Genomic DNA, 25,915 nt, shown 5'->3' on the forward strand with positions numbered 1-25,915 from the left:
GGAACACTTCTGAAGTCCTTTATTGGGCCGGCAAGGCCGGGAGCTGCCCTCGGAGTGGGGTCCCAGTCCGGAGTCTTCAGGTCAGTGGCAGCCCTGCCCGTTCTGGCCGGGGCAGGCGGCCCCTGCTGACTCGCTACTTGGTGCGCGCCTTCACATACTCCCAGCCCTCCTTGGAGTACTCGCGGGCCTTGGAGGGGGCCACCGACAGAGCTGACATCACCGTCATGATGCCTGTGGGAAAGGGACGGCCACTGGTGATACTCCCCTCCCAGCCTCACCCAGCCTCCAACCCCTGGGAAACTCTAGAGTTTGTTTTGGGCGGTGGGGGGTGGGTGGGGGGCGGGGATGGAGTCTCACTCTGTCTCCCAGGCTGGAGTGCAGTAGTGCAATCTCGGCTCACTGCAACCTTCGCCTCCTGGGTTCAAGCGATTCTCTTGCCTCAGCCTCCCAAGTAGCTGGGACTACAAGTGCGCCACCATACCAGGCTAATTTTTGTATTTTATTTTTTTGAGATGGAGTCTCGCCCTGTCGCCCAGGCTGGAGTGCAGTGGTGCAACCTCGGCTCACTGCAACCTCTGCCTCCTGGGTTCAAGCAATTCTCCTGCTTCAGCCTCTCAAGCAGCAGCTGGGATTACAGGTGTGCACCACCACGCACGGTTAATTTTTGTATTTTTAGTAGAGATGGGGTTTCACCATGTTGCCCAGGCTGGTCTCGAACTCCTGACTTCAGATGATCCGCCCACCTCAGCCTCCCAAAGTGCTGGGATTACAGGCGTGAGCCACTGTGCTCGGCCTCCTTTCCCTTTTAGATCCCTAAGAGACACGTGTCGGGCAGGAAGGAGGATGGACAGAAAGGAATGGCCAGGAAGTGGGGAGAGGGGCTAGACTGGGGTGTCTCCCTCCAAGCAAAGAAACTGGGTGCCTTACCTGCATTCCAGGAGTCACGGATGGGAAAGTAAATCTTTGGAGGGGCTGGGAGCTGGGAAAAAGAGATGGGCAGAAAGAACTGGTGAAAAGGCTCAGCAGCCCATCCCCAGAGGCGGAGGGAGGAGGACAGGCCGGAGAATCAGGTCAGCATCAATATGGAGGACAACATCGTGCAGGGCTGGAGGGACCTCCCAGAGCTGACCACCCGCCAAACCCTGGCCTCGTTCCCGGCCCGTAGTACCTGGGGTATCTGCAGGCCTGTCTGCTGACACACGTACTGGCTGAACTGGTACATGGCGGGGGGGACCACCTCCCCAGCCTTCTGTAGGGCTGCCTGGCTCTTGTCGCTGGGCCCCAGCAGCTCCTGGTCGTACACCAGGTAGACGGCGCCCCCAGCCACACTTCCCTTGATGAGGAACCTGCGGGCAGGGACGGGAGGAGCAGAAGCTCAGCGGACACTGACAGCCACCCTCAGGGGCCAAGGCCCACGGGGAGAGTGAGACCCTCCTGAGGGCTCACCGTCCACAGGGTGACACTCTGTAGTGCAGCACCGTCGACCCAGACCCCTATTATATACAGCACTCGTTTTACAACGTGCAAGGCAGGGCGGCTGGACGCCACTTGAACTGATGAACTGAAACCCAGAGGGGGAGAGTGGGTCACTCAAAGTCCCACAGTGAGCAGGGGCAGTGAAGACGTAAGATCTTGACCTTCTAGAAGCCTTCCAGCCCTGGAGAAACCAAGTGTCCCTGGGCGCCTCCTGCCCGCTGTCACTCGCAGCTCCGAGCACGCATTCACTTCTCATCCACGCCAGCGGCAGGATTCACCGGCATTCCCACCTCACAGAGAAGACAACTGAGGCTCGGAGGCGGAGGCTGACACCGCGAACTGAACGCCAAGGGCTCGCTGGGAAGCAGGAGGGAGGGGATTGGCGACCTCGGGAAGCCCCGCCCCTCTGAAGCCTCAGTTTCCCTATCTGGCCCATAGGCGGGGAACGAAGGGGAAGTGACTCTAAGGGAAGCGAAGAGCAGATCGGGACCAGACTGGAGACAGGGATGCCCACAAAAATGGACTTTTTCGGGGACTCGGGTCCCCTCCGGCGCCCCCACGCACCTCATCAGCGACCACACCCGGGCCACCATGGTCGCTCGGATCCACGCGCAAGGACACTCGGCTCGCCCGCCGCTTCCTGTCGCGGCGCCGCAGAGGCCTCTGGAAGGTGTAGTCTTTCTTGCCCGACGCAAGGTCCTCTGGGAGTCGTGGTGTCTTGCGGCTCTGAGACTCCAGAGAAGGGCTGCGGTCTCGCAGCGGAGGGCCGCTGGGAAATGGACGCTTTAAGGCCCGGGCCGCCGCAAGGCTGTCTGGGAAATGTAGTCAGCACGGCGCTGTTTGCACCTGGCCGCGGAGCCTCCTGGGAAATGTAGTTCGGCCCGGCCCTGGCACCGTGAGGGGAAAGAGGCGTCAGGTGCCTGGCTGAAGCCTGAAGGTGACCCGAAAACAAGTCAGAGCCCGAGAGATCCACCCGCGCCCGCGCGGGGGACCAAGGGCCCGGATTTAAGAAGAGTGTGCCTACAAGGCGGTTGTCACGGCAACGAGAGGGCGGGATTGTTCGAGCGCTGCGGCCCCCTCACGTGATCGATTCGGAGGCGGGGCGTCCGCCCAGTGGGCGGGGCCGGGCCCCTGCTGGGAGGCGAAGACCAGGCGGGCACTGTTGCCCGGCGACGCTCCGGCGCTGGGTCCCCGAGGCCCGGCCCCTCCCCGGGAGGAGGTGGGCTTCGAGTCACGTGACCCGTGCCCTACGGGAGGGGGTGCGGTCGGGGACCCGGCAGGAGGCGGCCGAGAAGAGAGGACCGTGGGGGCGTTCGCGTGGCTCCCAGCCCGGGACCCCACCCCCGCTGGACAGTGGGGGAAACTGAGGCCTGAGCGGGTGAGTGCACGGTTTAGGGGTGCGCAGAGGGTCACACGCCCGCTTTGTTCAGAGGGGAAGCTAAGGCCCGCCGAGGTCAAGAAGGGGCCGATGCGTTCTGCAGGGCTTCCCCCCATTTCTCCCGCATTTCGGCCGGGCTGCTTCAACCGTTCATCTGCCCATCCATCCATCTGTCCCCCACCCGTCTATCCATCTGGCCATCCACCCATCTATCCTTCCATCTATCCATCCACACTTCCGTTCATCCATCTGTCCGCCCATCCATTCATCCATCTGCTCCCCCCATCCTTCCACTCATCCATCTGTCCACCCATCCATCTATTTATCTGGCCACCCACTCATCTATCCGTCCATCCATCCATCCATCCATCCATCCATCCATGCATCCGTCCGTCCATCCATCCATCCATCCATCCATCCATTTATGTGTTCCCATTTATCCATTCATACATCCATCCACTCATCCATCTATCCACCCATACATCTCTCCGTCCATCATCCATCCATCCACCCATCCATCTATTCATCTGGCCATCCACCCATCCATCCTTCTATCTATGCATCCATACATGCATCTGTCCATCTATCCATTCATCCATCCACCCATCCGTCCACCCGTCAGTCCATCTGGTCCCACTTCCCCCTGCCGGGCTGCTGCAGTCAGTGTAGAGCTGGGGGTGGAAAGAGGGATGAGCAGAGGAGCTTCATGGGCTGTCCCTGGAAGGGGAAAAGGTGGAAGCTCGTTTCTTGCTGTGGGCATGCCTGGTGTGTCTGGGAAAGGTGAGGAGTTCATTATTTTGAGAACTGAACGATTCATAGATGGGGCCGTGGGAGAGAAGGATAGACAGGTAGTCAGGGGCTATACCTGCAGGGCCTCATGGGGTGCAGTGAGGAGCCTGGTTTCCATCAGTTGCAGTGGGGACCCCTGAGAGGGTTTGGAGCAGGAAGGGCCATGGCCATGTTGCTTTTGACACAGACGCCTTTGGCTGCATTGACAGAAGAGGCAGGGAGAGAATGAGTATGGACATGGGGAAGCCAGTGTGGAGGTGGGGGAGACCAAATCGGAGATGGAAGGGAGGCCAAAGGAAAGATGGGGGTGGTCAGGCCCGGGGTAGGGTCTAGGAGGGAGGTGACAATCTGGGAGTCCTGGAGAGAGAGAGGAAGGGACAGCTGGGGAGAGACTGGAGAGGGAGAACTGATAAGATCTGAAAACCATGAGCTCGTGGGGGTGAAAGGATAGAAGGAGGTGAGGACAATACCTGGGTCTCCCATTTAGGGACAGGGGATAGTGGGGCTATTTCTGTGATGGTGAGCTGGGAAGAGAAGCAGGTATGGGGTGACATGCTGAGCCTGGATTGGGTCCTGCTGGTTCTAAGGGGCCTGGAGGTTGTCAGGAGGAGACACCCAGAAGACAGCAGAGGCAAAGAACCTAGGGCTGGACCTACAGATGGGAGATTTAGGGACTCCTCAATGATCCGCTCCATCTGGTCTGTCTCAGCTTCCTGGTTCTGGAAGTCCCCTTCCCCTTGTCCCATTGACTTTTTTTTTTTTTTTTTTTTTTTTTTAGACAGAGTCTCACTCTGTTGCCCAGGCTGGAATGCAGTGGGGCGATCTCAGCTCACTGCAATCTCCACCCCGCTGGGTTCAAGCAATTCTCCTGCCTCAGCAGGAGACCCCATCTCTACAAAAAATACGATGATTAGTTGGGCGTGCTGGTGCACCCACTTGTAGTCCTAGCTGCTCCATTGGCTGGGATCACAGGCATGTGCCAGCATGCCCAGCTAATTTAGTATTTTTAGTAGAGACTGGGTTTCTCCATGTTGGTCAGGCTGGTCTCGAACTCCCAGCCTCAAGTGATCCGCCCACCTCGGCCTCCCAAAATGCTGGGATTACAAAGTGTAATCCCAGCCTGTGCAACAAGAGTGAAACTCAGTCTCAAAAAAAAAAAAAAAAAAAAAGAACCTGGACTGTTTCTCTCTTTCACCTTCTCCCTGGAATTAGTGAATCAGCTCCCATAGCTGAAATCATAAATCATATCTTCATCTGGATGACGCAGGCACCTCTGTCTCCAACCCAGCCCCATGTGTCAAATGCCTTCTGGGTGTCTCCAGAGAGCGAGCTGTCTCTTGGCTTCCTCACCTCTCGCCTCCCACGTGCCTCATATCACTCCATGATCAATCTGGTACCTATTGAGCACCTACTGTGTACCTGGCACAGTTTTGGGCCCTGAAGACCCAATAGGGAACAAAGTAGAAGATTTCCATTTCCTTCCTGCCCTTATGGAGCTGATGGTCTACAGGGAGAGAAGGATGGTGGAACGAGTAACAAATGGTCCTTGGGCTGGGCACGGTGGTTCACACCTGTAATCCCAGCACTTTGGGAGGCTGAGGCGGGAGGATCACTTGAGCCCAGGAGTTCAAAATCAGCCTGGGCAGCATAGTGAGACCCCATCCCTACAAAAAATACGATGATTAGTTGGGTGTGCTGGTGCGCCCACCTGTAGTCCCAGCTGCTCCATTGGCTGAGGCAAGAGGATTGCTTGAGCCCAAGAGGTCCAGGCTGCAGTGAGCTATGGTCGCACCACTGCACTCCAGCCTGAGCAACAGAGTGAGACTCTGCCTCAAAAATAAAAAAAAATAAAAATAAAAAAATAAATAATAAAAAAAGGAGGCCCTCACTTGAAGGAGGTCACTGTTCTTTTTTTGTTTGTTTGTTTGTTTTTGATACGGAGTTTCGCTCTTGTTGCCTAGGCTGGAGTGCAATGGCAAATCTCGGCACACTACAACTTCTGCCTCCCAGGTTCAAGCGATTCTCCTGCCTCAGCCTCCCAAATATCTGGATTACAGGCATGTGCGTGCCTCAGCCCCCTGAGTAGCTGGGATTACAGGCGCCTGCCACCGCGCCCGGCTAATTTTTGTATTTTTAATAGAGATGGGGTTTCACCATGTTGGCCAGGCTGGTCTCGAACTCCTGATCTCAAGTGATTTGCCCGCCTCAGCCTCCCAAAGTGCTGGGATTCCAGGCATGAGCCACCACATCCAGCTGAAGGAGGTCACTTTTGCACTGAGACTTGAAAGAAGTGAGAGAGCAAGCCATTGGGTTATATCCGGGAACAGCATTCTAGGCAGTAGGAACAGCCCACGAGAAGGCCCTGAGGCAGGATAGTGACTGGCTGGTTTCAAGGAACAGCGAAGGGTCTGTTTTAGTGGAGCGGAGTGAGCAAGGAGGACAGGTCCACACAGGGCGTTTGTAGCCACCAAGGAGTCTGGTTTTTATTCTAACTGGAACAGGAAGGATTTTCAGTCCAGGAGAGGCAAGGTGTGCAGATGGAGAGGGCTGAGAAGGGTGGAGGGGGAGGGTGCAGGTGCGGTGGTTCATGGAGCCGCGGTGGTTCATGGAGCCACCGTGGTGGCCTGGACAGGTGGTGGCTGTGGAGGTGGATAGGAAGGCGTGGATCCAAGGCGGTGGCATCACCAAACACCCACCAAACACGGGTGGCTGTGGGCCAGGCCTGTGCCGGCCACCTCTGTCCCCTGTCCCTCTGCAGGCCCACACAGGACCATGAAGGTGCTTCTCCTCACAGGGCTGGGGGCCCTGTTCTTCGCCTATTATTGGGATGACAACTTCGACCCAGGTGAGCACCTGGGGTTGAGGGAGGGAGAAACCGGGCCAGCTGTCCTGTCCTCCGCCCAGAGTGACCACCCCGGCTATGGCCAGCCAGCCTCCAGGGAGCGCGAGTGCTGCTGACAGGGGCCAACGCTGGTGTTGGTGAGGAGCTGGCCTATCACTACGCGCGTCTGGGCTCCCACCTGGTGCTCACTGCCCACACTGAGGCTCTCCTGCAGAAGGTGAGCCACCCCATGTCTAGATGAATGGTGGGGGTGCTCATGGGGGGTGGGAAGAGAGCCTGGGTTTAATCCCTGCAATGATCCAGGCTTCCCGTGTGACCTTGGGCAAGTCGCCTAACCTCTCTGAGCCTCTCAGTTTCCTCATTTGCAAAACGGGGACAATAAAACCACTTTCTGGCCAGGCACGGTGGCTCACGCTTGTAGTCAGCACTTTGGGAGGCCGAGGAAAGTGGATCACCTGAGGTCAGGAGTTCAAGACCAGCCTGGCCAACATGGCGAAACCTGGTCTCTACTAAGAAGACAAAAATTAGGCCAGGCATGGTGGCTCATGCCTGTAATCCTAGCACTTTGGGAGGCCAAGGCGGATGGATCACTTGAGGTCAGGAGTTCAAAACCAGCCTGGCCAACATGGTGAAACCCTGTCTCTACTAAAAATACAAAAAATAAAAATAAAATAAATAAATAAAAAATTAGCCGGCGTGGTGTCAGGCACCTGTAATCCCAGCTACTGGGGAGGCTGAGGCGGGAGAATTGCTGGAACCCGGGAGGTGGAGGTTGCAGTGAGCTGAGATCGCGCCACTGCACTCCAGCCTGGGTGACAGAGCGATACTCCATCTCAAAAAAAAGAAAAAAAAAAATTAGGGCATGGTGGCGCGAGCATGTAGTCCCAGCTACATGGGAGGCTGAGTCAGGAGAATCACTTGAACCCCGGAGGCAGAGGTTGCAGTGAGCCGAGATCGCACTACTGCACTCCAGCCTGGGCAACAAAGTGAGACTCTGTCTCAAACAAACAAACAAAAAAACCCACCTTCTCATGGGTTAGGATGTTGTGCCAATGCAGTGAGACGGTGACTAGAAGATGCAGTGTTTCTTAACAAATGAGAGTATTGAGTGTCCAGGCCTGTGCTGATAGCCAGGGTTCTTAAACTCGAAGGGAAGGATGGGCACTTCTTAGCAACAAGCAGTCCATTGCTACTTCAAGGAAGGGTATGGCTCTTGGGCACAAACCTTTCAATATTTCAAGAGAAGCTAGCAATCAGGAAATTGTAGATGAAATGTCCTGTTTTAGATGTTGGTGATTGACTAACCACCAAATTGGCCAGCATTCTGGCCCGCGGGCCTCCACTTTGCGCCCCTCAAGCAGTGGTAAATTTTTGGGAATGATGTTGAATGGGTCCCGAGGCTCAGAGTAGGGGGGGGTTTTCAGGCGGGGGCCTCCCTATGGCCAGCAGGTGCGGTGGAGGGGGAAGCGCTGCTGTAGAGGAGAGGCCCACGGGCAGCTCTGGCCCCCCCCAGGTGGTAGGGAACTGCCGGAAGCTGGGCGCCCCCAAGGTCTTCTACATCGCGGCGGACATGGCCTCCCCTGAGGCGCCCGAGAGCGTGGTGCAGTTTGCGCTGGACAAGCTGGGTGAGGGGCTGGGCCTGAAGCCTGGAGTCCGGGACCGTGGCCTAGGCCTTAGGGACAGGACCAGAATTGGGCTGTGGGTGTGGCCACAGTAACAGGTGTCTCAGGGCGGAGACAAATGGGGACTGGGGGCGTGGGCGGGGTGGAGTCTCATTGCGTCTGGGGGAAGAGCTCTGAACGGGGCCTCGTTGAATGGGAACCAAACCTTGCTAGATCCAGGGTGTAAGGCCAAGGCTGGGTGTCTTTGATCGTAGTGGGAGTTACCTGGGGCGGAGCTCGCTGGACCAGCGCTCTGGGTGGAGCTAAGCTCGGGGGCGGGGTTTGATCGTTTCCTTGGGGAGGGGCCTCCGGGGCTGACCGGCGTTTCTGGGCCAGGCGGGCTGGACTACCTCGTGCTGAACCACATCGGCGGCGCCCCGGCCGGCACGCGAGCCCGCAGCCCCCAGGCAACTCGCTGGCTCATGCAGGTGCTCCGCTCCTCCGCGGCCCCGGCCCGCCCCTCTATCTCAGGGACCGGTGGTCCGTTCCCTTCGCGGTCCGGGTTCTGCCTTCTCCAGGGAGGGCTCTCCACCCGTCCCGCCCCAGCCACGCCCCTCCTAGCCCAAGCCCCTGCTCCGGCCTTGACCCCGCCCTCGGACCCGCCTTCCGGGTTTCTGGCCCCGTCTCTGACCCGGCCCTGGCCCCGCCCTCTGGGTTTCTGGCCCCGCCCTGCCCCTGGGCTCCGCCTCTGCCGGTGACTCGCGAGTGCCGCCTGCAGGTAAACTTTGTGAGCTACGTGCAACTGACGTCGCGGGCGCTGCCCAGCCTGACGGACAGCAAGGGCTCCCTGGTGGTGGTGTCCTCGCTGCTCGGTGCGTGCACCCGGCCCCGGCTCTGCGGGACGGGGAGTGGGGAGCTCGATGCGGGTGAGCCTGGAGGGTCTGGGCAGGCTTCCCGGACGAGGGGGAGCCACTCAGCCGCTGCCGTCCGCGCCCCCAGGCCGCGTGCCCACGTCGTTCTCCACTCCCTACTCGGCGGCCAAGTTTGCGCTGGACGGCTTCTTCGGCTCCCTGCGGCGGGAGCTGGACGTGCAGGACGTGAACGTGGCCATCACCATGTGCGTCCTGGGCCTCCGAGATCGCGCCTCCGCCGCCGAGGCAGTCAGGTGAGGCCCGGACAAGCTGGGGGCTGGGCTGGGGGCCATGGCCCAGCCCCAGCCGCAGTCCCCACCGTGCCCTCCTGTCCCCAGGGGAGTCACGAGGGTCAAGGCGGCCCCGGGGCCCAAGGCAGCCCTGGCCGTGATCCGCGGCGGCGCCACGCGCGCGGCCGGCGTCTTCTACCCGTGGCGTTTCCGCCTGCTGTGCTTGCTCCGGCGCTGGCTACCGCGCCCGCGGGCCTGGTTTATCCGCCAGGAGCTCAACGTCACGGCCGCGGCAGCCTGAGCACCGGGGGGTGCCCCTCCAGTCCCAGACGGCAATGTTCCTCCCTCCAACTGTCCCTGGAGCCAGAACACTCACAGAGACACCCCTGAGAGGGTGGCCACAGCCCAAGATGAAGTCATCAAGACAGAAAAGCAAAACCGAGAAAAACGACGGGCACCTGGAACCAGTCACGGCTTGGGAGGTGCAGGTGCCCCGTGTTAGGCGCCTTTGTCGGGGACTTGCAAGGCCTCACCTGTTTGGCCATGATTGATGACGTGACTGCTTCCATTTTGCAGATGAGGAAACTAAGGCTCAGAGAGGCCACGCCACCCTTGAGCCACCCATGGACCCCTCTCCATCTCCTGCCTGCGCCTTTAAGTCCCTGATTTATTCTTTCCATTCATTCCATCTGGGAGGAACCCCCCCAACTCCTGCCAGCTTCCCCTAGCTGGGGTCTCTGGTACTCTTCACACCTGCAGGGGCGTCTACACTGTTCGTCTACCTGGTGGCAGGGTCTGAGCGGGAGGAGGAGGGAAAGAGTGTGTTCTGAGCTGGACCCAGCCTCTTGTTCGAGAATAAAAACTCTTCTTCTCTTGCATATCTGTTGTTCAAATTCCTTGGTAATTCCAATTTGCTAGCAGCCAGCGGGCAGCGGGAGGGGGTGTGTGTATCAGGGGCCTTGACTCTCAATCCCATTTCACAGGTGGGGAAATGGAGGCTGAGAGGGCCAGGAGCAGTGGCTCACGCCTATAATCCCAGCACTTTGAGAGGTCAAGGTGGGCAGATCACTTGAGGTCAGGAGTTTGAGACCAGCCTGGCCAACATGGTGAAACCCTGTCTTTATTTATTTATTTATTAGACGGAGTCTCACTCTATCGCCCAGGCTGGAGTGCAGTGGTGCGATCTAGGCTCACTGCAACCTCTGCCTCCGGGGTTCAAGCGATTCTTGTGCCTCAGCCTCCCAAATAGTTCAGATTACAGGTGTGGGTCACAACGCCTGACTTTTTGTATTTTTAGTAGAGACGGGGTTTTACCATGTCGGCCAGGCTGGTCTCGAACTCCTAGCCTTAGGTGATCCCCCTGTCTCGGCCTCTCAAAGTGCTGGGATTACAGGTGTCAGCCACTGCACCCGGCCACAAACAAATATTTTAATTAAAAAATTAGCCAGGCGTGGTGGCATGTGCCTGTGGTCCCAGCTAAGGAGGCTAAGGCAGGAGGATCACTTGAGCCCTGGAAGTCAAGGCTACAATAAGCTATGATTACAGCAGTGCACTCTAGCCTGGGCGACAGAGCAAGACCCTGTCTGGAAAAAACATGAAAGCGCTAACCCTAATTAGAGCAGCCCTAAATTGAGACTCTCTTCTTGTATATTAGTAGCATTAAAGGAGAAAAACTGGAAACTTGTGTGTTTCTGCCACCCGATTCAGTTATTTAGCGTCCCGTCCCTACACCACCTAAATTACATCAGATGTCCGCAAGGGGCACTATTACACGTTGCTGTATTCAGACCTAGTCTAGAGCTTGACCAATTGATAACAAAACCAATACCTTTTTTTTTAAATGGAGTTTCGCTCTGTCGCCCAGGCTGGAGTGCAGTGGTGCGATCTCGGCTCACTGCAACCTCTGCCTCTTGGGCTCAAGCAATTCTCCTGCCTCAGCCTCCTGCGTAGCTGGGATTACAGGAGCATGCCACCACGCCTGGCTATTTATTTATTTATTTATTTATTTATTTATTTATTGAGACGGAGTCTTGCTCTGTCGCCCAGGCTGGAGTGCAGTGGCACGATCTCGGCTCACTGCAAGCTCTGCCTCCTGGGTTCACGCCATTCTCCTGCCTCGGCCTCCCGAGTAGCTGGGACTACAGGTGCCCACCACCACGCCTGGCTAATTTTTTGTATTTTTAGTAGAGACGGGGTTTCACCGTATTAGGCTGGTCTCGAGCTCCTGACCTCGTGATCCACATGCCTCGACCTCCCAAAGTGCTGAGATTACAGGCGTGAGCCACCGCGCCCGGCCTAATGGGCGTTTTAACAGTTCATACAGTTTGGTATTATTATTCCCGCTCTACAAGTGAAGAAATTCTGAGAGGTGATGTCGTCGATGCAGGGTCGGCCCGAAATAGGCGGAGTTGGGATTCGAACTCATTTCACAGGCAGAGGGAGGAGAGCAGCCATAGCCACCTCCACTGGTTCCGACTCCAGCTCCCGGGCTCGCAGGAGTAAACGCGCATGCTCAGGGAGCTCGGTCGCGCATGCTCAGCGCAACGGCGGGGAAGACTCCAGCCGCCAGGGGGAGCGCGTGCCGTTCTTGCCTCTCTGGCCTGCGCCTCCTGAGCCGAGTAGATATCCCGGAGTTCCGCGCGGCGCCAGCCCTTCCGCCACGGCCGTCTCTGGAGAGCAGCAGGTAAGTGGTTTCCCGCACTGCCGGTATCCGCCGCCATCCGGACTCCCGGGTCCTCTGTGCAGGTTGGAGGATGGTTGGTTGTGGCGAGCGAGGCTGAAGGAGCCGGGACGCGGGGCTCTGGGCCTCGGGAACTGAGCCGGTACTCACCTCCGCCCCTTCTCCCCGTCGCTGTCCGCAGCCATGGCCCTACGCTACCCTATGGCCGTGGGCCTCAACAAGGGCCACAAAGTGACCAAGAACGTGAGCAAGCCCAGGCACAGCCGACGCCGCGGGGTGAGTGCGGGTGCCGCGCGGAGGTTGTCGGGGGTTTCTTGGAGGGCGGAGGGCATGGCTTGGGCAAAGGCTCTCGACCTGAAAGAACGCGCGTTCGGGCGCAGAACTAAGGGGGGCTTGAATGGAAGAGATGGGGTGGGGGAGTGGGACTTCCTGCCTGGTGCTCGAAGGCGGGCACCCATCTGGGTTTTTCCCAACCGTGCAATCCACGCTGGGGCAGAGGGAGCACCTTGAGAGCGGCGCGGGGCAGCGGGTTTGGGGTTCTGACGCAGGAGTAGGAGTTCGCTCATGGAGCTGGCCCGAGGTTGCGGTGTGTGAGGTTGAGGGATTTCAGGTGTGTCAGTGTATTGGGCGCCTTTATTAAGCGGGCAGCGGGTTTGGGGTTCTGACGCAGGAGTAAGGAGTTCGCTCATGGAGCTGGCCCGAGGTTGCGGTGTGTGAGGTTGAGGGATTTCAGGTGTGTCAGTGTATTGGGCGCCTTTATTCAGCAGGCAGCCCAGACTCCAGGTGCGTCCTGCCAGTGTTGCGGAGACTGGGACTTAGGGAGGATGGGAGCTGCTCCGGGCGCGGCGAAAAGCGCTAGGCGTTAATACCTTGGTTCTCACAGCTACCCACAGAGGGGAGGAAGTAGCCAGGGAAATCGCGGCAGCGCGAGAGAAGCTGCTTAACTAGAATGCAGGGATCCCCCTACCCTGACGGCCGCCCCTTTCCCCCCTAGCGTCTGACCAAACACACCAAGTTCGTGCGGGACATGATTCGGGAGGTGTGTGGCTTTGCCCCGTACGAGCGGCGCGCCATGGAGTTACTGAAGGTCTCCAAGGACAAACGGGCCCTCAAATTTATCAAGAAAAGGGTAGGTGGGCGCTGCCGGCCGAGGGGCGGGGTGGGATGGGAGTCAGGGCCGGGCTGACGGCGGCCTCGTCCCTGGCAGGTGGGGACGCACATCCGCGCCAAGAGGAAGCGGGAGGAGCTGAGCAACGTACTGGCCGCCATGAGGAAAGCTGCTGCCAAGAAAGACTGAGCCCCTCCCCTGCCCTCTCCCTGAAATAAAGAACAGCTTGACAGAAGCCCTGGCTCTCCTGCTGTCCGTGGGTGGGTGTGGGTGTGTCGGGGGCCCGCAGTCCCCTGTCTGGTGCCCGCTCTGAGCCACACCCTCTCCGGGTGCTGCCTGGTCGTGAATCAAAAGCCGTGGCCCGCCCACCCTTCCCGGGGCAGCAGGTGAGGAAGCCGCCGTACTGCAAATGACTTTAATCATTAAATAGCTTCTATGCCACACTCTGATTAAGCCGACTGAGGTCCCTGGGATCTGGGTCACTGGACCGAGCTGCTCGCTCGGTGGCTCCACTGCCAGGTCCGGGCGCGCTCCCCACAGCGCTCAGTTCTGGCCCAGACAGGGCCTGACATCCGCCGCCTGCAGTCCCGGGGTGGCCGTCACCGTTCCACGGCCAGCGCCTCTGCCTGCTCGTCCGGGAAGGCGATGTCGAAGATCTCCCGGTAGTGTTCCACGAAGTGCACCTCCAGGCCCTCGGTGATGAAGGCTGCCAGGTCGTAGAAGTCCTTCTTGTTCTCGGCTGGCAGGACGATGCACGTCACCCCTGCGCGCTTGGCCTGGGGGCAGAGTCAGGGTCAGCCCTGCCTGGGCCTGTGGGAGGGCAGCAGGTGTGCTAACCTCCAGGAACGAAAGGGCTTCCTGGGGACCGGCGATACACAGTGATGCCGGGTTCTAAGCAGTAAGTCCCAAAACCCACCAGGGTCCCCGTCTCCCACGGGGAAACAGGCTCAAGGCAAAACCACTGGCCTTGGCTCCAACAGCCTGAGAGCAGGAGCCAGGGCCTCCCCACCCCCTTATCTAGGAAGTCTGGCCGTGCGGTGGGAGCAGTCTCAGGGCTCTGGATGAGCCACACACCCACGGCCTCACATCCAGAGGTCAGGCAGTGTCTGGGGCCTGAACAGGGTTCCTGTGAGCATCTGCATCTCTGCCCCCAGGCCCTGCGTCACCCCCCTCACCTCCGGAGGCTACACATATCTGGAGTAGATGCCAGGCACAGCCCCACCACAGCCCCTTGAAAGGACAGCAGTTCCCACTGTCACCGCACACTGACTCCATGGACAGTGAGCCTCCCAATTTGCCTCCACCATTTTATCATCTAGGAAGTCTGTGCCTGGTGTCCAATTCAAGGTGGTCACAGCCACTTGACCATGCCTCCCTCGTGGTGGCATCTCCTGACTGACTGCACCAGGCTTCCTAGACACATGGCAAGTGTGGTCCAGTCTGGGGACAGGCAGGGATGGGAGGGAAGAGTGGGGACAGTGGCGCTCCAACCTGCTCAGCACCCTTGGAAGAGGCCAGCCCCTGGCCAGGGGCTCCAAACACCCCCGCCACCAGTAATCCTAAACGTCGTCCCCATCTCTAGCCTCTCCCTTGGCGCTGGGCTGCCTGGGAAGAGAAGCAGGAGCCACCCCCCCAATCCTACTGGGGAAGCCAGTGGAGGCTCAGAATGTTCTCCACAAGACTTGCTGTGGAGAAGGCAGCTAGGGCGGTGAGCTTAAGGCCAGCTCCAGGCCAGAGAGACCTGCTTCCAAAGCCCAGGGCTTCCCTCTCCTTGGCCCAGGCAGAGGTTGCATGGCGGGGACTGGGCCTGTCCCGTGGTGGTGTGGGCCCTGCCAGTGCTGTGGGGTGGGTACAGGGACACTCACCGCAATGGTCTTCTCCTTGATGCCACCAACAGGCAGGATCTTGCCCGTGAGGGAGACTTCGCCAGTCATGGCCAGATTCTGCCGGACAGGCCTGCCCATGGCCAGGGACAGCAGGGCCGTGACGATGGTGCAGCCTGCGCTTGGGCCGTCCTTGGGGGTGGCGCCCTGTGGAGGCATGTGGGGATAGTGGGTGAGCAGGTGGCCAGCAGCCCAGGGACTGGGCGGGAGCAGGTGGGAGCGGATGGCGCGGTCACCTCGGGCACATGCAGGTGGATGTGTGAGGTCACCAGGTAGTCATTGGCGGGGGCGTGCTGCATGAGGAAGGCTCTGGCGAAGGTGTAGGCTATGCGGGCGCTCTCCTTCATCACCTCCCCCAGCTGGCCTGTCACCTCCAGGCTGCCATCCTTGTCACCCTTGGCATCCTTGTCCTGTGGCCGTCTCAGGGATGTCTCCACAAACAGCGTGGAGCCTCCTGAAACAGGTGTGGAGCTGTGAACACGGGAGGCCTCGGAGCCCAGGCCGGTGCTCACTCCACCCCTCGGGGCCACTCTGACCGCTCCTGCCCCAGTTTAGCATCTTGGTGCCCCTGGGCAGGGGTTGGTGTCCCATCGTGAGCCAACGCTGGCCTCTACGTTTGCTGCGTTGCGGGTTCCTGGCTCTGTACGCCCCACAGGGCAGCCCCCAGCAGCTGCCAGCCACAGAGGACACGCCCAGGGCTACAAGGCCCAGCTGCCGCTGCCCTGCAGACAGACACAAGCCCTTCTCCAGCCCCTCCCGCACCATCCCCTTTGCCCTCTCGCCTCCTTTGTGCGTGGTGGCCCCAAGGCCCATCTGGATGAGCTTGTCCTTACCTGTAAGCCTATCAAAGTGGCACCCAAATCCATAAGGCCCATGGTGTGCTGCCACCCCCATGTGTCACAGCCTTCCCCTCCCTCAGCCCAGACCCCCTGGGCTCCCAGCACACCACCCCCCGCCAGAGGCCGTTCAGAGCCACCTGAGGCCCACTGCACAGGTGTACAAGGTGGGACCTGCTTGTTCTCGGGTAGAAATGGGAATGGCTTTGGGGTCTTCTCCCGCCACCACGCTCACCCATTGCGGTCCAGGCCAGCCCCATGACCACGCCGGGCGGTGTCACGTCATACATGCGCTCCACGGTGAACACGGGCTTCCCCACGAAGTCCTGCAGGTTCTCGGGCGTCACCTCCACGGACTCGGCCTCGCCGCTGACAATCTTGTAGGCCGATTTCCGTAACACCTGGGCGGTCAGGGCAACACAATGGGCACGGGAAGGTGGGGTGACAGGTGCGGGGTGGTGGGGTGACGGGCACAGAAAGGTGTGACGGGCGCGGGGTGGTGGGGTGATGGGCGCAGGAAAGTGGGATGATGGGCATGGAAAGGTGGGGTGATCAGCGTGGGATGGTGAGGTGGGCGGCAGGTGCCAGGAGGGCGGGCTGGCCGCTCACCTTCTCCACTTGCTTCTGCAGGTTGCGGACACCGCTCTCGCGGCAGTACTGCTTGATGAGCAGCGTCAGCACGTCCGATGACAGCTTGGCCTTGCTCTCATCCAAGCCACACAGGGCGCGAGCCTGGGGCACCAGGTAGCGCTGCAAGGGCAACCGTCAGGGTTGGGTCTGGAGGGACCTTGCCCACCAGCTCAGTCTAGAACCTGGGAGCCAATGCCTCTCCCATGGCCCCCAGACCCTGGCCTGGGAACGAGGTCCCTGATGGTGAAACCAGGGCCTGGACACCCCGCCCTGCCACCCACCATGCCCAGAGGCCCCAGGCCTTTGCTTGTGCTGCGTCCTCTGCTTGGATCCACTTCCTATCCCCCAATGGTATCTTAGATGCCGCTTCCTCCAGGAAGGCCTCCTGGTTGCCCCATGGGCTGGCCCCATACACAGACCCAGGGCCTGTAGGGTGGCTGACTGGTTACGTGGCTGCTGCCCTCAGCACATGAGGAAGGGGACTGGGTCAGGGGCTCCAGGGTCACCCACAGCCCCACACAATTCTTGCCACAGTTCTGAGCTCTAATGGCATGGGGGAGGGCATCTGTGAGACGGACAGAGCCATGCAAGCCACTCTACATCTGCCACTGATACTGGGGGGCACTCCTGATGCCCTGAGGGGTCCCCATGCCCCCCAGTCCTGTCCCCAGGAACTACAGGCCCGTCCCTTGGAGAAGTCAGGCTGGGAACTGGGCCCAGCAGTGGGCATTGAAGCCCCCAGGGGACACGAGGATGCTGGGAGGGCCTCAAGGGCAGGGACCAGTGCCCACCACTGGCTGTCAAAGGGCTCCTAGGGGAGAAATGCACTCAGCACCTTTGCAGAAAAAAAAACACATGAGAAATATGGGCCCCTGCATGCTCCTCACTGAAACCACTTCTCCTCCAAGCCTCATTCTGGGTGGGAGCCACAGGCCCCACTGCTTCCGGCTGCCAGAAACCTTCCCTACACTCTGGGCCAGGTGGGGGCCCCACCATGGGGCAGCCTGGAGGCCCCGGGAGACAGAGTGTGTGGCCTGACGGTGGTGGGCGGTGTTTTGGACAGTCCCAGGCCCTAAACCCTGCGCCCACTCGCGCCACCTGCAGCTGCTCGCAAGCGTCTGGTGTGTCTCTCACGGCCCCATCTGCTCCTCGGCCGCAGGTCCCACCTGTCTCTCCCGGGCCCAGGAGCTCCCAGAGGCACGGCCTCTGCAGGCTCTGGGGGGCGCCCCCTGCTCTGGGAAGGGGACAGCAGTGGGGAGGGGCTGGGCTTACCTCCGCAATGGCCAGCTTCTCCTGGGCCACGTAGCCCGACACGTTGATCATCTCCATACGGTCTCGCAGCGGCTCGGGGATGGTGTCCGTGACGTTGGCCGTGCAGATGAACAGCACCTGGGGGCGGCGGCAAGGTGCTGGGGGACTGGCCGCTTACCCTCCCCAGCAAGCCCAGGCCCCAGACAGGCCCCCCACCTTGGACAAGTCCACGGGCACGTCCAGGTAGTGGTCCAGGAAGTTGGCATTCTGCTCTGGGTCCAGCAGCTCCAGCAGTGCCGACGACGGGTCCCCCTGGTAGCCTCGGCCGATCTTGTCCACCTGGGGCAGCAGACAGCAGGTGGTGCCCCTCGCCGTGCCCCTGGCCAGCCCGCCCAGTGGGGAGACCCCAGGGTCAGGGCTGGGGAGACCCCGAGTGAGAGCGGCACCCACACCCTGCCTTGGACGGGCAGCCTGCTGGGCGTGGCTGTGGGTGGGAGGGACCCGTCCGTGCCATCAGGGCCAGCATCACGGCGATGGCCCCTGAGTTGGCTCGGGGATCCTAGGACCCGGAAGGCTCGGCTTCATCTTGCACACGGCATTGCCGGGTTAGGGGGTCTCCGGGCCTCTCCGCACGCACCTCGTCGATGAGGATCAGGGGGTTCTCCGTCTTGGTCTTCTTCAAACACTGGATGATCTTCCCGGGCATGGCGCCCACGTAGGTCCGCCTGTGGGTGCACAGCGGGGTCAGAGGTCACTTGGTAGCCTGGCTCGGCCACAACGACACCATGCACCCTCCAGGGCCACAGGGGAGAGGCCACCTGGAGCCCCACAAGATGTGGCCATGATGTGGGAGGCGGAAATGCTGGCAGCCGCCGGATGTGTGGCACCTGCAGGCACGCTGGTCACTTGCCCTGACTCGCCAGCTCAGATTCTGGGGTCACTGATTCAAAGCCAGATCTCCCTCAGTCCCATCCCTCAGCTGACACCATGGTGAAAGCCAGACAGGCGCTGGCAGCAGAAGGCCCCCACTCCTCACTGAGGGACGCCAGGCACGCCTCAGCCCTCAAGGGCTGGGGTGATACTAGCCATGGCCAGCACTGGCTCTCAGGAGGGCTTCCTGCAAGCTCTGTGCTCTGCCCCAGCACAGGGGCCCGGCCCGCGACAGGGACAGAAGAATCCCAGGCCCCACGAGAGACAGTGAGGAAGGCTCTGTCTGTGGGATGAAGACACAGGGAGGCAGGGATGGAGGGACTGAGATGCCACTGGGATGTGTGTGACACTTTAAGTGTGCAGGGGGGTAAGGAGTGTCTTAGGGAGAGGCCCCGAGCAACGCACGTGAGGAGAGAGCCACGTGAGGGTCTGAGAGATGTGTTCCAGGCCCAGGACACAGCCCGTGCAAAGGCCCTGAAACAGGACCACGCCTGGTGTGTTAGAAGAACAGTGAGGAGGCCATGAGGCTGAGGCAGAGGGAGGAGGGGGGGAGAGAAGAGGGAGGAGAGGGGGAAGAGGGAGGAGATGGAGAGGGAAGGGGGTAGAGGGAGGGGGAGGAAGAAGAGAGGGAGAGAGAGGAGGGGGTGGGGCAGGTCATGCGGGGTCCTGTGGGCTGCAGTGAGAACTTGGGCTTTGACCGAGGAACGTGGGAGCCCTGGAGAGCTGGGGGCAAAGGAGGGTTTTGCTGCTGTTAATAACAACGATCCATCGCCCCGCAGCCAGTCTCCTGTCCTTGTCCTTGTCTCAGGAACCCAGAGACGTCAGCAGACGCCTGCCCTCCCCGCAGCCCCGCTACCTGGTGACTCCCTCCCAAGGCCAGAGGTGACCCAGGCTTGTTCAGAACCCCGCCAGGGTCTCTCCTCCGGCCCGCACCTCCAGCCATCCCTGAACCAGGCTCCAAGAGGCTTCGCGACCACTTCAAACCGCTTGCCCAGGAAGGACTGGGTGCCCCCCACCCCCACCCCTCCACCTTCACCCAGCTGCTCCTTCCTGCTCAGACCCCAGCCCAACCAAGGGCCTGCAGAACAGGTCCCCTGTCCTCCCCCTCACACCCCCCACCCCCTAGTCAATCTGGGACTCCCCAAAGCTGCACTGGCCCCACCTCCTCCAGCTCCTCCCAACTCCCGGCTGGTCAGAGTGGCCGCCCCCTGGGGACTGGACACTGCGCGGGCCAGCATGCTGTCACCCTTGCAGCGGGCGGGCAGATGCTAGGAAGGCCTGAGCCGGGAGGTCGGGAGCTGGGGATGTTTTTAGAGAAGGCAGAAATGTTCACTTTAAACCTGGACTCAAGTGAATGCCTTGCAGGATGGAAACACGTGGTGGACTCAGCAGATGCCTCACACTCGGCTCTCACTGAGGCTACGGTTTCCAAAGAACCGCTGTCTACAGAGGCTGGCGAGGAGGGAAGCCCCAGAAAAGCCGCGCCCGGCTGCCCACCCAAAGGGTCAGGTGGGAGGGCGCTGAACTCTGAGGGCCGTGGCCCCTGCTTCTGGGCCTGAGGCTGGCCGGGACGAGTGAGCCCACAGAGGCGCCAAGGTTTCTCTGGTGTGCGCGGCCCGGTCCTCACTGGAGACCGTCTCTCCTGACTCCAGCCCACAGGCTTCGGGGTGGGGGGTGGAGCCGACCCCACCCCTAGTCCTGGGGCATCAGCCACAGCCCACATAGACCAGCATCTGCACGGCAAACGCCGGCCCTGCAGCTCTGGCCCGGGCATTGCAGGTCCTATGCTGGAACTACCGGGGGTGTCTGCTGAGGGCCGGCCCGAGAAGTCTCTCTCCCAGGGGTCAAGCCATGGAGGTTCCTGCCAGCGCTGTTTGAGCACCTGGAATCAGCTGGGCCTGAAGTCCGCCACATGGCTGGACTTTTCAGTTACTCCAGCATGAGTGGAATCGGTTGCCCACAACCCGGATTGCTCTACCAGATGTTAAAGGGTGACCGGAGAAGACGAAGCCCGGCAGCACAGCTGAGGGGAGTGCGTGGGGAGAGCTGTCAGGCCAGGCCTACCTGTGGCCCTTGATCTCAGCCACGTCAGTCATGCCCCCGACGCTGAAGCGGAAGTACTCTCGGTTCAGGGCGCGGGCGATGGAGCGAGCAATGCTGGTCTTACCCACGCCAGGGGGGCCATAGAAGCAGAGGATCTTGCCCTGGGTGGAGCCGCGGAGCTGGCTAACGGCAATGAACTCCTGCAGACAGAGGCAGGTTCAGTGGGCACGTGAGCTGGGGAAGCCGGGGACCCGCGCATGACTCTCGCCACCTGCACACTGCCTTTCAGACGTCTGAGGGCTGCGAGAAGGGACCAGGATTGTCCGGGAGGCTGAGCACATCAGAGCTGCCACTGGCCACGGGGAGGGGCAGCCTGTGACAAGGGCTCCATTTAACAATTTAACACCAAAGGACAACTAGGTGCTAGGAGACCGCGGCCACCCGGCAGTGCCAGGCCCGTTCAGCAGTTCCCGGGACCCTGAAGACCGCAAATGCTCCACTCTCTCCGGTCCAACCCAGAGAAGCAGTCCACCAATGCCTCTGGCTCCTGTTTTTTTTTTTTTTTTTTTTGAGATGGAGTCTTGCTCTGTGGCCCAGGCTAGAGTGTACTGGTGCGATCTCATCTCACTGCAACCTCAGCCTCCTGGGTTCAAGCAATTCTCCTGCCTCAGCCTCCTGAGTAGCTGGGATTACAGGTGTGAGTCACCATGCCTGGCTACTTTTTTTGTATTTTTAGTAGAGGCGAGGTTTCACCATGTTGGTCAGGCTGGTCTCGAACTCCTGACCTTGTGATCCACCCGCCTCGGCCTCCCCAAGTGCTGGGATTACAGGTGTGAGCCACCATGCCCAGGCTCTGACTCCTGTTTTTTAACCTTTGACTCCCACCTGCCTGCCTGGTTTCCAATGTCTCAGGAGTGATATTTTAAAAATTAATTTAAAATTAATTAATTTTCAGACAAGGTCTCGCTCTGTCACCCAGGCTGGAGTGTAGTGGTGCATCACAGCTCACTGCAGCCTCCACCTCCCGGGCTCAAGCAGTCCTCCCACCTCAGCCTCCCAAGTAGCTGGGACTGCAGACACGCAACATCACACCAGGCTAATTAAAAAAAATTTTTTTTCCTTTTTGAGACGGAGTTTCACTCTTGTTGCCCAGGCTGGAGTGCAATGGCACGATCTGGGCTCACTGCAACCTCTGGCTCCTGGGTTCAAGCGATTCTCCTGCCTCAGCCTCCCAAGTAGCTGGGATTACAGGCATGCGCCACCACGCCTAACTAATTTTGTATTTTTAGTATAGATGGGGTTTCTCCATGTTGGTCAGGCTGGTCTTCAACTCCCGACCTCAGGTGATCTGCATGCCTCAGCCTCCCAAAGTGCTGGGATTACAGGCATGAGCCACAGCGCCCAGCCGCAATTTTAAAATTTTTTGTAGAGATGGGGGTCTCACTCTGTCACCCAACCTGATGTGCAGTGGCATGATCACAGCTCACCACAGCCTCAACTTCCTGGGCTCAAGTGATCCTCCCGCCTCAGCCTCCTGAGTAACTGGGACTACAAGCAGCCCCACCATGCCCGGCCCGTCAGGCATGACTTCAGTCCACCTGGGAAATCCTCGAGCCCTCGGGGGCAGGGCAGGATGCTACCTCCGCCGGGATCCCCCCGACCAGCACCCCCAGGCCTACGAATTCACCAGGGGGCTCCTTTGAAATCTCAACCCACAGCACACAAGAGTCCTGGGCCCGGGCACCCACATGCAAATCCACAACAGGCCAGACACTGGGCTCACCAGGATGCGTTTCTTGACGTCCTCCATGCCGTAGTGGTCTTCCTCCAGCACTGCCTGTGCCCGCGCCAGGTCCAGGTTCTCGTTGCTGTACTTGCCCCAAGGGATGGACGTGAGCCAGTCTAGGTAGTTGCGGGTGACACTGCCAGGGGACAGATGGAGAGATGCTGAGTGGAGCTCACGAGCTGCCTGTCTCTCTGCTGGACTTGGCTGGGTGGTTGCAAGGGGCTTGAAACCCATGTGTGGGGCTGAGCGCGGTGGCTCACGCCTGTAATCCCAGCTCTTTGGGAGGCCCAGGTGGGAGGATCACTTGAGCCCAGGAGTTCAAGACCAGCCTGAGCAACTCAGCAAGACCCCATCTCTATAAAACAATTTACAGGCCAGGCACAGTGGCTCACGCCTGTAATCCCAGAATTTTGGGAGGCCGAGGCAGGCGGATCACAAGGTCAGGAGATCGAGACCATCCTGGCTAGCACGGTGAAACCCTGTCTCTACTAAAAATACAAAAAATGCTTCTGCCTCTGCCTCTGCCCTCTGCCTCTCCCCTTTCCACGGTCTCCCCTTTCCCTCTTTCCATGGTCTCCCTCTGATGCCGAGCCGAGGCTGGACTGTGTGCTGCCATCTTGGCTCACTGCAACCTCCCTGCCTGGTTCTCCTGCCTGAGCCTGCCGAGTGCCTGCGATTGCAGGCGCGCGCCGCCACGCCTGACTGGTTTTCCTATTTTTTTGGTGGAGACGGGGTTTCACTGTGTTGGCCGGGCTGGTCTCCAGGTCCTAACCGCGAGTGGTCCGCCGGCCTCGGCCTCCCGAGGTGCCGGGATTGCAGACGGAGTCTCGTTCACTCAGTGCTCAATGGTGCCCAGGCTGGAGTGCAGTGGCGTGATCTCGGCTCGCTACAACCTCCACCTCCCAGCCGCCTGCCTTAGCCTCCCAAAGTGCCGAGATTGCAGCCTCTGCCCGGCCGCCACCCTGTCTGGGAAGTGAGGAGCGTCTCTGCCTGGCCGCCCATCGTCTGGGATGTGAGGAGCCCCTCTGCCTGGCTGCCCAGTCTGGAAGGTGAGGAGCGTCTCTGCCCGGCCGCCCATCATCTGAGATGTGGGGAGCGCCTCTGCCCCGCCGCCCTGTCTGGGATATGAGGAGCGCCTCTGCCCGGCCGCGACCCCGTCTGGGAGGGGAAGAGCGTCTCTGCCCGGCAGCCCTGAGAAGTGAGGAGACCCTCTGCCTGGCAACCGACCCGTCTGAGAAGTGAGGAGCGTCTCCGCCCAGCAGCCACCCCGTCCGGGAGGGAGGTGGGGGGGTCAGCCCCCCACCCGGCCAGCCGCCCCGTCCGGGAGGTGAGGGGCGCCTCTGCCCGGCCGCCCCTACTGGGAAGTGAGGAGCCCCTCTGCCCGGCCAGCCGCCCCCTCCGGGAGGGAGGAGTGGGGGTCAGCCCCCCGCCCGGCTAGCCGCCCCGTCTGGGAGGGAGGTTGGGGGGGGGGTCAGCCCCCCACCAGGCCAGCTGCCCCATCCGGGAGGGAGGTGGAGGCGTCAGCCCCCCGCCCAGCCAGCCGCCCCGTCCGGGAGGGAGGTGGGGGGGTCAGCCCCCCGCCCGGCCAGCCGCCCCGTCCGGGAGGTGAGGGGCGCCTCTGCCCGGCCGCCCCTACTGGGAAGTGAGGAGCCCCTCTGCCTGGCCAGCCGCCCCCTCTGGGAGGGAGGAGTGGGGGTCAGCCCCCCGCCCGGCCAGCCGCCCCATCTGGGAGGTGTACCCAACAGCTCATTGAGAACGGGCCATGATGACAATGGCAGTTTTGTGGAATAGAAAAGGGGGAAAGGATTGAGAAATCGGATGGTTGCCGTGTCTGTGTAGAAAGAAGTAGACATGAGAGACTTTTCATTTTGTTCTGTACTAAGAAAAATTCTTCTGCCTTGGGATCCTGTTGATCGGTGACCTTACCCCCAACCCTGTGCTCTCTGAAACATGTGCTGTGTCCACTCAGGGTTAAATGGATTAAGGGCGGTGCAAGATGTGCTTTGTTAAACAGATGCTTGAAGGCAGCATGCTGGTTAAGAGTCATCACCACTCCCTAATCTCAAGTACCCAGGGACACAAACACTGCGGAAGGCCGCAGGGTCCTCTGCCTAGGAAAACCAGAGACCCTTGTTCACTTGTTTATCTGCTGACCCTCCCTCCACTATTGTCCTATGACCCTGCCAAATCCCCCTCTGCGAGAAACACCCAAGAATGATCAATAAAAAAAAAAAAAAAAATTAGCTGGGCGTGGCAGCGGACACCTGTAGTTCCAGCTACTCGGGAGGCTGAGGCAGGAGAATGGCATGAACCCGAGAGGCGGAGCTTGCAGTGAGCCGAGATCGTGCCACTGCACTCCAGCCTGGGCAACAGAGTGAGACTCCATCTCAAAAAAAAAAAAAAAAAAAAATTTACAAACTGCCCTGTCCAAAGCACCCAGTGCAGGAAGGAGGAGATGGCCGGAGGTCCACTGCTGACTCATCAGGAGAGCCAAGACGGCACTGGCTTCTGCCCAGGGCTGAGTGAGCAGAACCACAGAGGGGACGAGGCTTAGAAAATGGGACAAGGCCTGACCCAGGGCAGGTGGGGAAATGGAGGCCAGGTCCCCTGCCGGGAGAGTGACGCTGAAGGTTGGGAGGGCAACTCCATATTGGTCCCCAAGTTGGGAGCCGTGCAGCAGTGAGCAGCGGCCACTATGGGCCAGGAGCAAGTCAGTGAGGGCTGCAAGAGCACACGGCAGGATTGGGGAAGAGGATGAAGAGGAGGACGGCTTCCGAGGAAGGGCCAGGCGGCCCCACGAGCAGACACCGTCAGGGCGCACTGCCACCCAACGGGCATACGAGACGCACCGGGACAGGCCAGCTGGGCCACACGGATGCTGGAGTTTAGAGACACATGAAGTCACTGTGGAAGTGACACAGGCAGTGACACTTTGCGGAGAGCATTCTGGGTGGGAGAGGTAGCTGGCAGCCTGCTGCAGGCATCTTGGTGACACGCAGGTACTGAGGGCTTGTCCCCCGTGACTTCCCAGGACCTGAGGACAGAACCCGCCTTACAGACCCCCTCAGCTCCTGGGGGAAGGAGCTATCTGCTTCTGCAGGACAAGGCCCGGTCTGAGCAGGTACTTCCACCAGCCCAAGGGCAGCTGAGGCACTCGCTGGGAGACAGAAGAACCCCGAAAACATCTACGTTCTCCCCCCACAGGAGGCGGCGGCACAGGCCTCTCACATGGCAGCAGGGAACTGCAGATGGGGCTGAGTGAAGGTCCCCGAGACAGGAGAGCATTCTGGGTGACCCAGGGGGCCCAGGTTCCTCACCAGGTCCTCACGACAGGCGGTGGGAGGTGAGAGACTGACTGGAAGAGGCTGCGCTGTGGCTGTGAAGGAGGAAGGGGCCCCGAGCCGAGGGATGCGGGCGCCTCCAGATACTGGGAAAGGCAGGAAACGGATTCTCCTCTGGAGCCTCTGGGAGGGACGGGCCCGGCCCACAGCGGGATCTCAGGGCTCGGCATTGTGTAAGGCACTAAGTTGTGGCACCGTCG

At 60.2% G+C, this 25,915-nt stretch overlaps 4 protein-coding genes across 22 annotated transcripts in view, besides 19 other annotated features; 2 read left to right on the forward strand and 2 right to left on the reverse strand.

Moving 5' to 3' along the window:
• Positions 1 to 4: 4 nt before the first annotated feature.
• Positions 5 to 2,099, reverse strand: MICOS13 (mitochondrial contact site and cristae organizing system subunit 13). Of its 4 annotated transcripts, NM_001308240.2 has the most exons (5): positions 2,041 to 2,099; positions 1,638 to 1,833; positions 1,169 to 1,346; positions 928 to 979; positions 5 to 231 (listed from the first exon to the last, which is right to left on the reverse strand). In NM_001308240.2, the coding sequence occupies exons 2-5, from the start codon at positions 1,730 to 1,732 to the stop codon at positions 134 to 136; spliced, it is 423 nt and encodes a 140-aa protein (NP_001295169.1). In that variant the 5' UTR covers positions 1,733 to 1,833; positions 2,041 to 2,099; the 3' UTR covers positions 5 to 133. The 4 variants fall into 4 exon arrangements, with proteins under 4 accessions (NP_001295169.1, NP_991330.1, NP_001352690.1 ...); NM_205767.3 differs by lacking the exon at positions 1,638 to 1,833; NM_001365761.2 differs by lacking the exon at positions 2,041 to 2,099 and having other exon boundaries at positions 1,638 to 1,821.
• Positions 1,188 to 1,327: an enhancer, noted in NCBI's record as "active region_13805". NCBI's record gives its function as "activates an Ori minimal core promoter by ATAC-STARR-seq in GM12878 lymphoblastoid cells {active_cell/tissue: GM12878}" and the evidence as "EXISTENCE:reporter gene assay evidence [ECO:0000049][PMID:35858748]".
• Positions 1,708 to 1,817: an enhancer, noted in NCBI's record as "active region_13806". NCBI's record gives its function as "activates an Ori minimal core promoter by ATAC-STARR-seq in GM12878 lymphoblastoid cells {active_cell/tissue: GM12878}" and the evidence as "EXISTENCE:reporter gene assay evidence [ECO:0000049][PMID:35858748]".
• Positions 1,848 to 1,927: an enhancer, noted in NCBI's record as "active region_13807". NCBI's record gives its function as "activates an Ori minimal core promoter by ATAC-STARR-seq in GM12878 lymphoblastoid cells {active_cell/tissue: GM12878}" and the evidence as "EXISTENCE:reporter gene assay evidence [ECO:0000049][PMID:35858748]".
• Positions 1,948 to 2,047: an enhancer, noted in NCBI's record as "active region_13808". NCBI's record gives its function as "activates an Ori minimal core promoter by ATAC-STARR-seq in GM12878 lymphoblastoid cells {active_cell/tissue: GM12878}" and the evidence as "EXISTENCE:reporter gene assay evidence [ECO:0000049][PMID:35858748]".
• Positions 2,058 to 2,527: an enhancer, noted in NCBI's record as "active region_13809". NCBI's record gives its function as "activates an Ori minimal core promoter by ATAC-STARR-seq in GM12878 lymphoblastoid cells {active_cell/tissue: GM12878}" and the evidence as "EXISTENCE:reporter gene assay evidence [ECO:0000049][PMID:35858748]".
• Positions 2,578 to 2,787: a silencer, noted in NCBI's record as "silent region_9926". NCBI's record gives its function as "represses an Ori minimal core promoter by ATAC-STARR-seq in GM12878 lymphoblastoid cells {active_cell/tissue: GM12878}" and the evidence as "EXISTENCE:reporter gene assay evidence [ECO:0000049][PMID:35858748]".
• Positions 2,610 to 10,105, forward strand: HSD11B1L (hydroxysteroid 11-beta dehydrogenase 1 like). 10 transcript variants are annotated; one of them, NM_001267868.2, is made up of 9 exons: positions 2,610 to 2,854; positions 5,605 to 5,704; positions 6,364 to 6,488; positions 6,572 to 6,702; positions 7,999 to 8,110; positions 8,483 to 8,574; positions 8,865 to 8,958; positions 9,086 to 9,251; positions 9,336 to 10,105. In NM_001267868.2, the coding sequence occupies exons 2-9, from the start codon at positions 5,616 to 5,618 to the stop codon at positions 9,526 to 9,528; spliced, it is 1,002 nt and encodes a 333-aa protein (NP_001254797.1). In that variant the 5' UTR covers positions 2,610 to 2,854; positions 5,605 to 5,615; the 3' UTR covers positions 9,529 to 10,105. The 10 variants fall into 10 exon arrangements, with proteins under 10 accessions (NP_001254797.1, NP_941995.1, NP_940935.1 ...); NM_198706.3 differs by lacking the exon at positions 5,605 to 5,704 and having other exon boundaries at positions 6,402 to 6,488; NM_198533.3 differs by lacking the exon at positions 5,605 to 5,704 and having other exon boundaries at positions 6,402 to 6,488; positions 9,499 to 10,105.
• Positions 8,342 to 8,601: a silencer, noted in NCBI's record as "silent region_9927". NCBI's record gives its function as "represses an Ori minimal core promoter by ATAC-STARR-seq in GM12878 lymphoblastoid cells {active_cell/tissue: GM12878}" and the evidence as "EXISTENCE:reporter gene assay evidence [ECO:0000049][PMID:35858748]".
• Positions 8,672 to 8,821: a silencer, noted in NCBI's record as "silent region_9928". NCBI's record gives its function as "represses an Ori minimal core promoter by ATAC-STARR-seq in GM12878 lymphoblastoid cells {active_cell/tissue: GM12878}" and the evidence as "EXISTENCE:reporter gene assay evidence [ECO:0000049][PMID:35858748]".
• Positions 9,062 to 9,121: a silencer, noted in NCBI's record as "silent region_9929". NCBI's record gives its function as "represses an Ori minimal core promoter by ATAC-STARR-seq in GM12878 lymphoblastoid cells {active_cell/tissue: GM12878}" and the evidence as "EXISTENCE:reporter gene assay evidence [ECO:0000049][PMID:35858748]".
• Positions 9,299 to 9,798: an enhancer, noted in NCBI's record as "H3K27ac hESC enhancer chr19:5687727-5688226 (GRCh37/hg19 assembly coordinates)". NCBI's record gives its function as "activates a minimal SCP1, AML or CMV promoter by ChIP-STARR-seq in primed H9 embryonic stem cells {active_cell/tissue: H9 hESC(primed)}" and the evidence as "EXISTENCE:reporter gene assay evidence [ECO:0000049][PMID:30033119]".
• Positions 11,550 to 11,599: an enhancer, noted in NCBI's record as "active region_13810". NCBI's record gives its function as "activates an Ori minimal core promoter by ATAC-STARR-seq in GM12878 lymphoblastoid cells {active_cell/tissue: GM12878}" and the evidence as "EXISTENCE:reporter gene assay evidence [ECO:0000049][PMID:35858748]".
• Positions 11,655 to 12,180: an enhancer, noted in NCBI's record as "NANOG-H3K27ac-H3K4me1 hESC enhancer chr19:5690083-5690608 (GRCh37/hg19 assembly coordinates)". NCBI's record gives its function as "activates a minimal SCP1, AML or CMV promoter by ChIP-STARR-seq in primed H9 embryonic stem cells {active_cell/tissue: H9 hESC(primed)}" and the evidence as "EXISTENCE:reporter gene assay evidence [ECO:0000049][PMID:30033119]".
• Positions 11,878 to 13,458, forward strand: RPL36 (ribosomal protein L36). 2 transcript variants are annotated; one of them, NM_033643.3, is made up of 4 exons: positions 11,878 to 11,910; positions 12,089 to 12,183; positions 12,902 to 13,036; positions 13,115 to 13,458. In NM_033643.3, the coding sequence occupies exons 2-4, from the start codon at positions 12,091 to 12,093 to the stop codon at positions 13,202 to 13,204; spliced, it is 318 nt and encodes a 105-aa protein (NP_378669.1). In that variant the 5' UTR covers positions 11,878 to 11,910; positions 12,089 to 12,090; the 3' UTR covers positions 13,205 to 13,458. The 2 variants fall into 2 exon arrangements, with proteins under 2 accessions (NP_378669.1, NP_056229.2); NM_015414.4 differs by having other exon boundaries at positions 11,878 to 12,183.
• Positions 12,181 to 12,706: an enhancer, noted in NCBI's record as "NANOG-H3K27ac-H3K4me1 hESC enhancer chr19:5690609-5691134 (GRCh37/hg19 assembly coordinates)". NCBI's record gives its function as "activates a minimal SCP1, AML or CMV promoter by ChIP-STARR-seq in primed H9 embryonic stem cells {active_cell/tissue: H9 hESC(primed)}" and the evidence as "EXISTENCE:reporter gene assay evidence [ECO:0000049][PMID:30033119]".
• Positions 12,707 to 13,232: an enhancer, noted in NCBI's record as "H3K27ac-H3K4me1 hESC enhancer chr19:5691135-5691660 (GRCh37/hg19 assembly coordinates)". NCBI's record gives its function as "activates a minimal SCP1, AML or CMV promoter by ChIP-STARR-seq in primed H9 embryonic stem cells {active_cell/tissue: H9 hESC(primed)}" and the evidence as "EXISTENCE:reporter gene assay evidence [ECO:0000049][PMID:30033119]".
• Positions 12,940 to 12,989: a silencer, noted in NCBI's record as "silent region_9930". NCBI's record gives its function as "represses an Ori minimal core promoter by ATAC-STARR-seq in GM12878 lymphoblastoid cells {active_cell/tissue: GM12878}" and the evidence as "EXISTENCE:reporter gene assay evidence [ECO:0000049][PMID:35858748]".
• Positions 13,417 to 25,915, reverse strand: part of LONP1 (lon peptidase 1, mitochondrial) — a 28,619-nt gene continuing 16,120 nt past the window's right edge. For 4 of the 6 annotated variants that reach the window (NR_076392.2, NM_001276480.1, NM_001276479.2 and 1 more), the window contains 10 exons: positions 22,372 to 22,510; positions 20,610 to 20,788; positions 18,253 to 18,340; positions 17,832 to 17,954; positions 17,637 to 17,753; positions 16,344 to 16,484; positions 15,970 to 16,135; positions 15,135 to 15,352; positions 14,881 to 15,045; positions 13,417 to 13,791 (listed from right to left, as the gene is read on the reverse strand). Coding sequence is in view for 5 of the 6 variants with exons in the window: in NM_001276480.1 (NP_001263409.1) it covers positions 13,615 to 13,791; positions 14,881 to 15,045; positions 15,135 to 15,352; positions 15,970 to 16,135; positions 16,344 to 16,484; positions 17,637 to 17,753; positions 17,832 to 17,954; positions 18,253 to 18,340; positions 20,610 to 20,788; positions 22,372 to 22,510 (1,513 nt within the window). In the remaining variant the exon portion in view is untranslated. Of the gene's footprint in view, positions 13,792 to 14,880; positions 15,046 to 15,134; positions 15,353 to 15,969; positions 16,136 to 16,343; positions 16,485 to 17,636; positions 17,754 to 17,831; positions 17,955 to 18,252; positions 18,341 to 20,609; positions 20,789 to 22,371; positions 22,511 to 25,313; positions 25,802 to 25,915 lie in introns of those variants that run through there. The other 2 variants (XM_047439719.1, XM_011528441.4) reach the window with 2 other exon arrangements.
• Positions 13,420 to 13,469: an enhancer, noted in NCBI's record as "active region_13811". NCBI's record gives its function as "activates an Ori minimal core promoter by ATAC-STARR-seq in GM12878 lymphoblastoid cells {active_cell/tissue: GM12878}" and the evidence as "EXISTENCE:reporter gene assay evidence [ECO:0000049][PMID:35858748]".
• Positions 13,530 to 13,579: an enhancer, noted in NCBI's record as "active region_13812". NCBI's record gives its function as "activates an Ori minimal core promoter by ATAC-STARR-seq in GM12878 lymphoblastoid cells {active_cell/tissue: GM12878}" and the evidence as "EXISTENCE:reporter gene assay evidence [ECO:0000049][PMID:35858748]".
• Positions 17,239 to 17,288: an enhancer, noted in NCBI's record as "active region_13813". NCBI's record gives its function as "activates an Ori minimal core promoter by ATAC-STARR-seq in GM12878 lymphoblastoid cells {active_cell/tissue: GM12878}" and the evidence as "EXISTENCE:reporter gene assay evidence [ECO:0000049][PMID:35858748]".
• Positions 20,554 to 20,653: an enhancer, noted in NCBI's record as "active region_13814". NCBI's record gives its function as "activates an Ori minimal core promoter by ATAC-STARR-seq in GM12878 lymphoblastoid cells {active_cell/tissue: GM12878}" and the evidence as "EXISTENCE:reporter gene assay evidence [ECO:0000049][PMID:35858748]".

This window comes from Homo sapiens, chromosome 19 (genome assembly GCF_000001405.40).
Source record: "Homo sapiens chromosome 19, GRCh38.p14 Primary Assembly".
Classification (NCBI taxonomy): domain Eukaryota; kingdom Metazoa; phylum Chordata; class Mammalia; order Primates; family Hominidae; genus Homo; species Homo sapiens.

What these genes read in the sequence shown, in the direction of transcription:
- MICOS13 (NM_001308240.2), bottom strand. Translation starts at nt 1,732, where the DNA reads ATGAGAAGTGAATGCGTGCTCGGAGCTGCGAGTGACAGCGGGCAGGAG. An exon ending in GGCTGGAAGGCTTCTAGAAG is followed by an intron (nt 1,347 to 1,637) that starts GTCAAGATCTTA and finishes CCCTGCCCGCAG; the next exon opens with GTTCCTCATCAAGGGAAGTG. An exon ending in CCGTGACTCCTGGAATGCAG is followed by an intron (nt 232 to 927) that starts GTAAGGCACCCA and finishes CCTTTCCCACAG; the next exon opens with GCATCATGACGGTGATGTCA.
- HSD11B1L (NM_001267868.2), top strand. Translation starts at nt 5,616, where the DNA reads ATGGCAAATCTCGGCACACTACAACTTCTGCCTCCCAGGTTCAAGCGA. An exon ending in AATATCTGGATTACAGGCAT is followed by an intron (nt 5,705 to 6,363) that starts GTGCGTGCCTCA and finishes GCTGTGGGCCAG; the next exon opens with GCCTGTGCCGGCCACCTCTG. An exon ending in TCCGCCGCCGAGGCAGTCAG is followed by an intron (nt 9,252 to 9,335) that starts GTGAGGCCCGGA and finishes TCCTGTCCCCAG; the next exon opens with GGGAGTCACGAGGGTCAAGG.
- RPL36 (NM_015414.4), top strand. Translation starts at nt 12,091, where the DNA reads ATGGCCCTACGCTACCCTATGGCCGTGGGCCTCAACAAGGGCCACAAA. An exon ending in GGCACAGCCGACGCCGCGGG is followed by an intron (nt 12,184 to 12,901) that starts GTGAGTGCGGGT and finishes TTTCCCCCCTAG; the next exon opens with CGTCTGACCAAACACACCAA. An exon ending in TCAAATTTATCAAGAAAAGG is followed by an intron (nt 13,037 to 13,114) that starts GTAGGTGGGCGC and finishes CGTCCCTGGCAG; the next exon opens with GTGGGGACGCACATCCGCGC.